Source organism: Homo sapiens, chromosome 5 (genome assembly GCF_000001405.40).
Source record: "Homo sapiens chromosome 5, GRCh38.p14 Primary Assembly".
Taxonomy (NCBI): Eukaryota; Metazoa; Chordata; class Mammalia; order Primates; family Hominidae; genus Homo; species Homo sapiens.
The window spans coordinates 867,720-880,471 of NC_000005.10; the positions used below are offsets into that span (position 1 = coordinate 867,720).

A 12,752-nucleotide genomic window follows, 5' to 3' on the forward strand; every position below is an offset into this window, starting at 1 on the left:
AGGTCTATTTACCCAATGTCTGTACCCGATTTGTATCTTGGAATTAACTAACTTGTTTTGGATTTTACAGGCTCACAGGCAGAAGTAACTTGCCTTGTCTCAGATAAGACTTTGGACTGTGGACTTCTGAGTTAATGCTGGAATGAGTTAAGACTTTAGGGGACTGTTAGGAAGGCATGATTGTGTTTTGAAATGTGAAAAGGACAAAAGATTCGAGAGGAGTCAGGGGCAGAATGATACAGTTTGGCTCTGTATTCCTGCCCAAATCTCATGTTGAATTGTAATTCCCAATGTTAGGGGAGGGTCCTGGTGGAAGGTGATTGGATCATGGGGATGGATTTCCCCCTTGCTGTTCTCTGTTCTCATGATAGTGAGTGACTTCTCATGAGATCTGGTTGTTTCAAAGCACTTCCCCCTTTGCGTTCTCTCCTGCTCCGCCATGTGAAGACATGCATGTTTCTCCTTCATCTTCCGCCATGATTGGAAGTTTCCTGATGCCTCCCAGCCATGCCTCCCAAACAGCCTGAGGAACTGTGAGTCAATTAAACCTCTTTCCTTCACCAATGACCAGTCTCAGGTGGTTCTTTATAACAGTGTGAGGACAGACTAACACACCACAGCACATCAGCACCAAAGCCCATCAGCACCAAGCTGCTGAGAAGTAGTAATAAGGACAAAATCTTAGAAGTGCTGAGAAAAACAGCTGCTGTGCAGAAAAGTGCTGTCACAGCGGCCTGGGGCCAGGGTCCCCTGGAAGGCAAGGCCAGCCACGGCTGGCATCTGGGGTCCCCCCCAGTGCTAGGGATTGTTCACAGCTCCAACAACAGGAGCAGAGTGGTTTATGCTAAAGTTCACCTTCCCTCCGGGGTCTGGACTTTGGTACCTGCCTGGCAAGGGGGTGCCCTGTGACCCCGAGCACCAAGCCTCTGACGGGCTTCCCTGGTGGGCATTTCACGTGTGTTGTCACAGCTCACTCCTGGGAATTAAGCGTGTCCCATGTGCCTCTGCTGGGAGTGGATCTGGGCCTCACGCTGGGTTTCCTTGGATGTCACTCTTGTCCCTCTGCTGCTGTTGGCACCCTTCCCCTATAATAAATCACGGCCATAAGTGCCTGAACAGAGCCAGCAGAGACAGGTGGAACGTCACCACGCAAAGCAGTGGGACCCATGGATCCAGGCACCACAAATGCTGCTGGAGGTCAGAACAGCTCGGGGGCGCTGCACCGGCAGCCTCCCAGGTGAGGGCACAGTCTCCAGGATGGCCCCACCGGCTGATGCCAACTGAAAGCCCCAGGCTGTGGTCTGTGCTTCCGACTAACCAGCTATCAAATGGGGTTCCCAGAAGACCAGACTTGAGCTCTATGAATTTCCTAGAGTGACTCACAGAAGTCAGGGAAACATCTGTAAATGAAAAATAAAATTCTAAGCCCCATGGACTGAACGGATTCCCACTCTTGGCCAAGGGCACTCCAAAGTCAACCTGGAAAATGAGGTCAGGCCATGATGTGAAGCGGGACTGGACTTGCCTCATTATCCCCTCTTTTGGAATTCAGGCACAGCTGACCAGCATTAACTTTAAAACAGAAATCTGAAGGTTGACAAAGCAGACTCCGTGGTAATAAGACACCAAATTCCGATCCGACTTTAGTACAGCATCACGTGATAGATGGCAGGCCCTGAAAGAAACTGAGTATTTTATCTCAAAATATATCCCTTTGACATATTTTGAAATAGCCCTGCAAAGCTGTATCTTGTGGGAAAAATCTACATTCTGTAGAGAATCTCCTGCCCCTTCCAAGTCTCTTCCTGACCCAACAGAGATTTAACTAACAATCTGGTACCTTTGAGGGCCTCATGAGTGATGTTTGCCATCTACTCTACTCTTTTTGAAGCCTGCTACCTGAAGGCTGAATTCATCTATGTGACAAGAACCTTGGCTTCTACAACTGCTTATGTTAACCATGCACATTTCTTTCTGACTTCAGCTCTTCAGAGCTTAACCCTTTCAACCAAATGCCAATCAGGAAATCTCTGAATCCACCAACGACCCGACATTCCTCGCTTCAAGTTGTCCCGCCTTTCCAACACGAACCACTGTTACAACTGACATGTACTGACTGATGTCCTCTGTCTCCCTAAAACATATCAAAACAAGCTGCAGACCAGTCCTCCTCGGCAAATGTTCTTGGGACCTCCTGGGACTGTGTCACAGCCACGGTCTTCGTATTTCACTCAGAAGAAACCTCTCTAAATACCCTGCAGAGTTTGACTCTTCTGTCCACACACTAGGCTGACATTTACCCATTTATTCTGCGGGGTGTCACCCAGGGTACGGATGGGCCCCAGGTGGGAGCGATGCAGAGGGGACCCGTGGGAAGGGGCTGCCTTCTTCCCAGAGCCTCCAGGCGTCCAGCAATGAGGCTCCCTAGGGAACCCCACCTTTTGGGATTTCATGGAGGCGGTAGGCAACACTGATGAAATCCACAGCCACTGGGGATCGGCCAGACCCCATCCTGAGGTTACCCAGGGGCTGCAACCACTTCTCATTAGCTTAAAAAAGACACAACACTCAGGAGATTCCAAGGATTTTAGGAGCTATGGTCCAAAAACCTGGGACAAAGACCAAATACCGTAACAAAAGATTTTCCTGGCATCCCTGTCTAGTCAGGAAGGGAGAGGAGGTGGAGGCCGTGTGTTTTCTTCCTCTATCACACCTTCACCAGGTGCTGTGGGAAAGTGCCTGTTACAACTCACCCAGAGAGCTGAGCATGGAGATATCCACAGAAACGTCGGGATAGGACTTCATCGACATGAACTCCAGAACAGAGCTGCTGCTGTCTCCTAGGGTGTCCCCAACCTGTGGAGACAGACACACATCAAGAGCAATTCAAACATCAAACGAAAAACGAAATGTTACTTCACACTCGCTATTGAAATCACTCTAATTATTTGCTAAACGTGAACCCACCCCTCAGTAAGTGACAAGACCAAGCCCTGTTCACTGAGGCTGCTGTTCAAGGGACTGTCAGGTTGGAGCTCATGAATGGATATGCAAATCCATGTCAAAGAAAAACCTACTGAGACCAACAACGCAAACTAACAATCCTTTGTTAACTTTTTGGGGCTAAAGAAATTGGGGAGGGACATTATGCAACAGGAAGACACACAGAATTTTAGGGTCCAGGACTATTTCTCAGGCACTTCACAGAGCACACAACGTTCCCTTTCCTTTCCCAGCAAGGCGTGTCCTCAGGGCTAGACTACAGCCACCCTAACACATACTCTCTCATCAGCTCCCTGCAGCTCGGCCTCTGCCCTCAAACAGATGTTAAGGGGTCTCTCCAGGTTCCCAGGGACCCTGGACCAAAGCCCAAGCCCATGCCTGCTGACTGTCAGAGACACACACCTGCCAATCGGCAGGTGCAGCAGTCTGGGCTCACAGCACTGCCCTGCCAGCACTGGCCCCAGAGCCCACTGTGCTTGGGACAACACCTGCTACTCACCAAGCAGGTCCTGAGAAGGCCCATCCTGCCCAACCCTTGCAAGGGTGTCCCACAAGGACAGCACCCAGCGGGGCCAACTGCTCTGAAACTACCCATTTCTGGATTTGGAAGAATGTACTGCGGCTTCACACCACTCACCTCAAGTCATGAAAAGAGGAGGAGAAACACTATTGATCTTACTGATCAGAAACGGACTCCATTTCTAAACGCCGTCATACACACAGACCTCCCCACCTCAAAGGCTGGATACAACTTTCCCTGTGAGAATAATATTTGGCTTGCCCTTCCATGTTCAAAAACTTACCTTGGCTTCATCTGGAGGCTTCATGGGAACATTTCTTCTCTGAAAAGTAAATGAGGACAGAAACTAGTTTTTCCAGAGTGATTTCATAGAAACGGACAATTCGCTGACATTACACACACGTAAAAATGGCTTGTGCGCTTCTGCGAATTCTGCTCCCCAGTCACACCATCTTAATGGATTAAGGCTGGGGGTCCTCCAAACCTTCTTCATCACCAGTCACTGACCCAACCACGCCCAGCCCCCTCCTCAGCGCCAGGATTGTGTGCCGGGGACAGCGCTCCACAGGGCGAGATGGAGCGGACAGAGAGAGGACGCCGATGCTGTTTCGGCAGCCTTGGGTGGCTTAAAACAAAAGAAAAAAGATGTGCCTAGATCCTATGGGAAGCTTAGGATAAGAAGGGTCTCGTGGGTTCCACCTGGAATATGACCAGTTGCCTGAGACCAGCTCGAGTCCTGCAGGGGCAGGTGTGTGCAGGAGCAAAGGAGGCAGACACCTCCTGGCAGTGCCTGTGGCAGGTGGGCCTGCCGTGGGCGCAGGAGCGAAGGAGGCAGACACCTCCTGGCGGTGCCTGCAGCAGGTGGGCCGGGCCGTGCATTGTCTCCTTCCACAACTGTCGGCCTCCGTGGCACACCCGTCCTGTGCTCCGGTGGAGCGATGCTGTAGTATATGCACTCTATCATGTGTGATCTTTGTTCGAAATAATGTTTCTCAGATTCAATGACATCGATTTTCACAAGCTTTTAATTAGAAAATGAATACTGCTGTTTTGTTCGCATCTGTTTCCCCAAAAGCCTTCAGTCACTTTAGTCCTGAGCATCATTTACTGCGGGGGTGCACTCGGGGTCACTCAACTCCATATCCAAGTTCACTTTCCCGAAAGGAATCTAACTGGAACCCAGAGAGGAAACCACAGAGCCTTCCCATTTCCGGGCTGTGAGGGGGTCACTTTCCCTACCCCACAGCAATGCCTGATTCTAACGCTGTGTTGGGGGGGCCAGCTTCCTGCCTGGAAGGAGCCTGCAGGCCACGACACGGGAGGGTGACCAGAGCTCAGAGTCAGAACCACGAGCTGGTGGGGCAGGCTCTGCAGAGGGGGCTGCTCCTCAGAGCTGCAGAAATCTGCTTGGGGACTCCCGCCTGGCTGCAACCCTCTCTTCAGGGGCCTGCGAGCCCTCCAAGCATGGAAATCAAGGAAAATCTTGAGTTCCTTCAAGGGAAATTCCAGTTACTTAGATAACTCTGAGAAGTAAATCAGCGACTTGATAAGCAAGAAGGTAACAGTATCCTAAAACAACAGTCAAGGAAGGTGGAGACAGATGTTTGTTCCCTGTAGAAAGTAAAGACAACCTCCCAGCACTGTTCCCTGTAGAAAGAAAAGACAACATCCTACCACTCTGGGAGGCTGAGATGGATGCATCATTTGAGGTCAGGAGTTAAAGACCAGCCTGGCCAACATGGCGAAACTCCGCCTCTACTAAAAATACAAAAATTAGCCAGGTGTGGTGGCGCATGCCTGTAATCCCAGCTACTCGGGAGGCTGAGGCAGGAGAATCGCTAGAATCAGGGAGGCAGAGGTTGCAGTGAGCCACAATCACGCCACTGCACTCCAGCCTGGGTGACAGAGTGAGACTCTATGTCTCAAAAAGAAAAAAAAAGAAAGAAAGTAAAGATAACATCTTAATGTATATCCCTGAGTTGTCTTTCAGAAACCTGGACCCTCCACCTAGGACCTCCCCAACAAACTAATCTACTGGCATGAAGGGCTCAGATAAGGAGAAACTGAAGACTGAGCTCTGACCCCGTTCTTTGTTCTGAATTTCTTCCTGACGGGCCTGGAGGAAGCCACACCCACAAGCCTAAGCTAACATTCTTTTCTCTTCACCCCAAATTTTTAAACAAAGCTTCTCCTCCTTAACCAGCTGCAAATCAGAAAACCTTTGAATCCACCTATAACCTATAAGGCCCTGCTTGCAGATACCGCCCTTCTAGGCCAAGCCGACATGTAACCTCTGTGTCCTTATGCACGACTCTGCCTTTCAGTTCTGCTTTCCTGAGATCTACCCCCGCTTTACAAGCCTTGCCTGTAGCCAGTGGGGGAGGCCAGGATTTATACATGAGCCTCCTGGCCCACCTTGCTTGGCGCCCTGCAAATACACACGTCCTTTCTATGACAAAACCTCGGCATGGGTGTCTGGGTTTACTGCACCAGGCATGTGGACCCCAGTTCATCTGTAACAAGCACAGATGAAACCGTCAGGTCAAGGGACTGACCCCTCCTTGGGAGCCATGAGCCAAACGTTCTCAGAGCCTGGGAAGGACAGAGACTCATCCGAACTCCACCCACAGCAGAGACCACGCTGAAAAGACAGGGCTCCCCGAAGGGCCACTCCTTAGCATTAAGGCTACACGAACCCTAGAATAAGGCTGCCCTGGACCCACCCCAGACAAGCCTGGTAGGATCCGGCCATTATCCACAAGTAACAACTGCCAAAATGATCATCAGTATTCTCTGAAAGAGAGAAAGAACCCAGATCAGCCTTGCCCAGCAGACATAACGCGAGCACACGCCTCGTTCTAAATGTTTTTTTATCTTTTTTTTGAGACAGGGTCTTGCTCTATTGCCTAGAGTGCGGTGGTGCAATCGCACTGCAGCCTCGACCTCCCGGCCTCAAGTGATCCTCCCACCTTAGCCTCCTGTGGAGCTGATGACAGGTGCATGCCACCATACCCAGCTCTTAAAATTCTAGCTGCCACATTAAAATTACTCTTAACATTCAATTAACTAATGCATTTTACTTAGACAAATTTATTGAAGATGTTTTTATTCCAACATGTGGGCCATAAGAAATCGTTACTCATATTTTTACGTTTTTTGCATTAGTTTTTTAAGATCTAGTTTGTAGCTCACACATCACATCTAAATTCAGACTGGCCACATTCAAATTTCCCAGCGGCCATGTGGCCAGTGCTTTTTTATCAGACAGCGAGGGTCAGGACTGTCCACCAGGCACGTGCACAATGGCCCACAGCTCCAAGTGCAGCAAAGTGTCAAACAGAAACAGAACCGGAAACGGCAGAGGCGACAGACTCAGTGACTGAGGACTTCAAAAGCAGCAGCAATAAATACGAACGTGGCTCAAGGATGTAAGGAAAAACATACACACAACATGAGAGAAGATACACAAAAGCAGCAAATGGAGCCCAAGTGATGAGCAGCGCGGGACGACATCATCAGTGAAAACTGATCTGGGATAACAGGTTCAGGTGTGGCCAGAGAACAGGTGAGTGAACTTAGCCAACAGCATCAGAAACTAATCTGCAGCAGCCTGGTGCGGCAGCACAGTGTCGGTGCCATGTGAGATAACACGAGCTGTCCTCAGAGTGCCACAGTCCAGCAGGAGGAGGAAGAGGCAGTGGTGGAAAATGACATTTGAGTAATGGCTAAAAATCTTCCAAATATGATGAAAACTACAGACAGATCCAAGAAACAACAAATGCTAAGTAGAACACAAAGAAAAGCCCACCAAGGCACCTGGAAAATACAATGCTGAAAATCACTGATAAAGAAAGATAAAAGTTCAAAAGCTCCTAGAGCACCGGCCAGATCCCGTCCTGCCGAGGGCCCGGGAGTGAGCAGCCGAGGCTCTGTGAGCCACACGCTGCCCGAAGCATCTTCTTCTTCCTTTTCTTTTCTGTAAACACCCTTTTAAAGATGTAAAAGACATTCCTGGCTTGTGGTCTGTACAAAAGCAGACTTCAGGTCAGATCTGGCCGAAAAGACACGTCACATGTGGGAAACAAAGATGACAATGACTTCAGACGCTTTTTTTTTTTTTTTGGAGATGGGGTCTGGCTCTGTGGCCCAAGCTGGAGTGCAGTGGCATGATCTCGGCTCACTGCAAGCTCTGCCTCCCGGGTTCATGCCATTCTCCTGCCTCAGCCTCCCGAGTAGCTGGGACTACAAGCACCTGCCACCACGCCCAGCTAATTTTTTCTATTTTTTAGTAGAGACGGGGTTTCACCGTGTTAGCCAGGATGGTCTCGACCTCCTGACCTTGGATCTGCCCGCCTCGGCCTCCCAAAGTGCTGGGATTACAAGTGTGAGCCACCATGCTTGGCCCAGATGCTTTTTTATAGCAACAATGCAAGTCAAACCTATTTTACAGTAGATGGGAAAAAAGGTCATCTAAAATTCCATACACAGGGAAAATGAATTTCAAAAATGAAGATGAAATAAAGACTTTCAGAGAAGCCAATGCTGAGAGATCACTGTCAGTAAATCTGAACTACAGGAAATATTTTTTTAAACTCTTCAGGATGAAGGAAAGTGACAGAGATGAAAGATGAAGATGGAAATAGAGAGTTACGAGTGCGCTGGGAGTGGTGAGCACACAGTCACGGTCTCCGGGGGACACCTGCCCGTGCAGAGAAGCACGCAGATCCTGACGAGGAGCCGGCAGCAGAGTCCCTGCGACAGCTCCTCGTCCCCGAAAGCCTGGTCAGGCTGCAGGCTCTTCCCGCCAGCAGCACCCCAAGGGCACCTGCCCCCCAACCCCGGTGCGAGTGCAGCCCACCTGCTTCAGCTGGAAGAGCGTCCTAGAGTGGTCTCCGCCTGTGATCTGGTCCAGGAGGTCGTCCACCACTTTCTTGCTGTAGCTCCCAGCATCCTTCACAAACTCCTGCAGGCTAGAGGGGCCGCGGGAGAAGGTACGCTGAAAGGAGCCCTTGTCGCCTGGCCCTCGCGGCAGCCCTGATCACAGAAGCCTGCCGTGCCAGCGCAGCTCCTCGGTCCCCGTGACCCTCCCAGAGCGGGTATTTTGTGGGGAGTGGCTGATAGTTTTCATTAGATTTTCAAAGTGGTCCATGACCCAAAAAGGTTAAAAAGATCTCAGTGGGGAGAGGGAGAAAAGCATGAATACACATGCACACAGCCTAGAAACACACGTGTGCTATGTTATCATCTGTAAAAGAATACTCCTATCTTTCCACTCGTTATGCGTTTAAAAACACAAGTGGGTGTGGACAGAAGCACACCAGTGGGCAGTGCCTGCCGGTGAGGAATGGGCGCGTGGGGCAGGGGTGGGCCGACACTTCCAAGGCACTCCTTTTAGTACCATCCTGATTCTTGGCCATATACATGAAACAGCTTAAAAAATAAAATATAATACAATCTAAAAAGTAGGCCAGGAACAAAAATGCATAGTCTTAGAATCAAAGCACCAAGCAAGCGCCTCAGAAGGGCTCCCCAGACTCCAAAGACCTTCACAGAGAGGAACAAGGATGGCTGCTGGTCAGAAGCTGAACCACGGTCACAGGAGGCAACAGGGAGACTCCGTGTCTTTGTTAAAACACCCACAGCCCGGGACAGGCCAAGCTCGGCACTCGCAGCGTGCACGGAAGCAGCACTCAGGGGCAGAGGATCTGGGTGTCTGTGCGCTGAGGCTGGCATGGGACCACGTAGCCTCATGCCAGGCCCTAGGAGATGTGCTTCTGAGTGTTGCCCCTGCAGCCACAAGGCAGGCGGGGTCAGAATGATCTTTCTTCACGGCAACATGGAACCTGATGCGTTCTAGGGACAGACAGCTGGGGAAGGCGGGGGGTGTGCACAGTCCACTGATGTGCCACATGGACAACAGGTGACTGATGTCCTGAAGGAGCCACACGCCGTGGACAGGGAGCCGACTGCGGACAGGATGGCACCAGGGGAGCCACGGCCTTGGCCCAGGCTGGGCAGAGGCCCCACAGCAGGGGTGAGGTGAGGGCTGGCGGGAGGGTGGGGAGCAAACAACTCTTTAATTTCTGACTTATGACCCCATCGTCTCCTACTAGAATTTCCTCTTCATTTTCCACGTTTACTTCATTTTTTGCTACAAAAATCAGGGTCAGGTTTTCACTTATTTTATGAAGCACTAAGGGGATTCTTGTTTATTTTTAAAACATATTCTGCATTCTTGTTGGAATAAAATGAAGACCTGATATGTCAAGATGCCATTTCTTAAAGGCTAGCAAAATTAAGTTGCTTTCTCCATTAAAAACTGCCAAATTTTACAAGAGTGACCCACTTTTATTTTGCCACAGAAAACAAAAAATACACACAGCAACATTCTACGGAAAAGCAGGCTGCTACATTTGTGATTTTAGTATTATACTTTAGCCTGCCATGGCCTGAATTGTATCTCCCGCTCAGAGTTCGTAAGTTGAAATCCCGACCCCAGTGCCTTGGAATGTGATTATACTTGGAGCTGGGGACTTTAACGGCCTTTAGAGGTAACTGCAGTGACATGAGGCCATTAGGGTGGCCCTGATCCAATATGACCAGGGTCCTTGAGAACGGTAGGGTCTCCAGGAGAGCCGAGGACACAGACACACGCAGGATGGCCCCGGGAAGGCACAGGGAAAAGACGGAAAGACGGCACCTGCAGGCCCAGGAGAGAGGGCTCGGGAGGAACCAGCCCTGCCCACACCTTCATGGCAAATGCCAGCCCCCAGGAATAAGACCCCAGTCTGTGGTGCTTTGTCACTGCAGCCTGAGCTAGCACGGTCACTTAGGAAACACAATTCAATACGATCCAGTGTGCTCAACACACCCCCAACCCCTTCACAAGCTACGCCCTGATCACCACCTTCTGACTGAGTTACCCAGATTTCAGGACTGGCCTGTGGCAGACCTGTGTGGATGACTGAAAGCAACGGGAAGACCCAGGCTGCCATATGGACGGCTGCAAGATGGCTCTCTCCCCACCCGCACACATGTGGGACTCCACGTCCCACACCAGGGCACAGCTCAAGCTGCACAGCAGCCAAGGGCTCCCCGGGGCCGACACTTGCCTCAGCGCACACTGCACGCCTGTCTCATCTCCGTAGGCTGAGTAGAGCAGCTCCATCTCGTCCGACTTCAAGTCGCCAAATACTGAATTATTCTGCATCGAAAGCGCAGTAGTGGCACTGGAGAGAAAGGTGACTGGGAGGAAGAGGAGAGAGCATCACTGGACTCACTGGAAGGACTCGGTGTGCAGGCCCCACCCCGCTTCTCCAGGGGCTGAGGGACCGCCTGGCTGGCAGCCAGCACCCCAGTCTCACCTCTCTTGCTCTCCACAAAATTCTCACTCCTGAGTTTTCCATGTGTAACCAGCAGGGGTGTAATTCACCACCCCTCATTTTACTTCTGCAGGCCAAAGACCGCAGGGAAATGAGCTCTCTGCAAAGGGGTGAGCTCCACAAGCAAAAGAGCTGTGTGGAAACGTGGGCAGAGCGCACCGTCTGTCACTGTGGAGGATCCCAACCAACACACACCGCAGGGACCACGCCTGCCCAGGGCCAGCTCTCGCTGTGGGGGACACAGGCCAGGTGTACTGTGCAGTGTCCCATAGGGTGTGGAGCAGCACCCCTGGCATCTCCCTACCATCTGGTGCCAGCAGCACCCCCAACCCCAGTGGGACCATCAACACGCCTCTGGACACTGCCAACATCTCCAGGGACAAAAGTGCTGTGGTTGAGAACTGTGTTAGAGGGTGAGAAGAAGATGTGTGTCAAACACAACAAAAAAAAAGTATCAACAACCACAACAGCCCCAAGAGGAAGAGGGGAGCAGGGGCTGGTGAAGACAAGTGGTGAAGGCAAGAGGATCCTTCCCAGTGGAGGGCGTCCTTCAACAGGAGACCCAGACCAGGCAGAATTTCAACACCTGGAGCTGGAGGAAAGAACATTCCAGAAACAAGGAAGCTCTTGAGCCAAGGCCATGGTTTGGAGGGAAGAGTGAGCTGTCCCATTAGCAGATGGTGTGAGTGGCTGAGGCAGAAAGGGCCGGCAGGAGCAGTGTCCATGCAGCTGTCTGCATGGGAGGGACCCAGCAGAGGTGGAGAAGTGGAGGGTGGGGCCATGCAGGAGGTCCCAGCAGCAGCGCAGCCAGGAGGCAGCAGTGCAGATGGAGAGAACACACAGGCCAGACCCAAGGCCCAGGGGCCACACATTCTGACCCCTGAAGGGATGTTCTGTAATGCGACAGGGACAGAAACACAAGGACCCCAAAACACTGACCAAGGTGAAGTCCAGTGATGCAACCAAGGTGCCCGCTGTGTGTGTCCCCATCCAACACGAGTTTCATTCCTGTCACTGTAACTGATCTCAATCTTACCCATGTGAAAACATGAATCCAGGTACAGTGAGGAAACTCTGAAGTACGAATCAGCAGCATTTGCCATCACTCCACTAAACCCCTGCCACCTTCCCTGCTCCGGCTGGCTCCTGGGACGGGACTATGGATTTACCTTTGTTTCTTCTCTCGTCTTTGAAGCCCAGCGTGGTGAAGCCTGGGAGTAGCTTACTGGAGAGCGAGCTCAAGTCCACCGGGTGGGTCTCCTCCTCTGCAACACGGACATGGCGGGCCGTGAGTGGCAGGTGTGACCCCAACGCGGTGCCCCAGTGCAGTGCCATGAGCCCTTTCTCCACATCACAGTGGATGTGATTGGTGCAGGTGGGGGGATTTTATAATGATCACCTGAAAACAAATTTGCAAAAGCCAACTACCATTCTCAAAACTAACTGCATTTCAATTTCATTTCTTTATCACCCCAAAGTCAACACAATAAAAAATACCACATCTTTGGCCACCACACCAGCAATACTTTGAGAACATTTTCAAATGGATCACTCAACAACTCCAAGAAGAAATCTTGTCCTGCGTGTTCTAACAGCGAAACGGTGGCGTGTACCTGGAGCGCGTGCATCTGACAGCATGTCTGCCATGCTCAAGTCACCACCCACACACCACTCATGGGATCAGAGCAGGAGTTCCTCAGTTCCCAACCGCTGCCTCGGTCTCAACACTCTCATAAGCTAAATATGGATCAACGGTCCATCCTCTTTAGGAAAATAAGCTGAAGATTATATAGATCAGCCCGTTTCTATCCTTCACACACTGGAGAAAACCACGCTGGCATGGTGGA

General features: G+C 51.0%; 1 protein-coding gene across 23 annotated transcripts in view; it reads right to left on the minus strand.

Annotated features, from left to right (window-relative positions):
- Positions 1 to 12,752, minus strand: part of BRD9 (bromodomain containing 9) — a 29,061-nt gene that overhangs the window by 3,979 nt on the left and 12,330 nt on the right. For 13 of the 23 annotated variants that reach the window (NM_001375879.1, NM_023924.5, NM_001375877.1 and 10 more), the window contains 5 exons: positions 12,075 to 12,170; positions 10,636 to 10,768; positions 8,382 to 8,493; positions 3,807 to 3,845; positions 2,754 to 2,856 (listed from right to left, as the gene is read on the minus strand). In NM_001375879.1, the coding sequence (NP_001362808.1) occupies positions 2,754 to 2,856; positions 3,807 to 3,845; positions 8,382 to 8,493; positions 10,636 to 10,768; positions 12,075 to 12,170 (483 nt within the window). Of the gene's footprint in view, positions 1 to 890; positions 1,086 to 1,525; positions 1,686 to 2,753; positions 2,857 to 3,806; positions 3,846 to 4,530; positions 8,223 to 8,381; positions 8,494 to 10,635; positions 10,769 to 12,074; positions 12,171 to 12,752 lie in introns of those variants that run through there. The other 10 variants (NR_184208.1, XM_047417602.1, XM_047417601.1 and 7 more) reach the window with 6 other exon arrangements.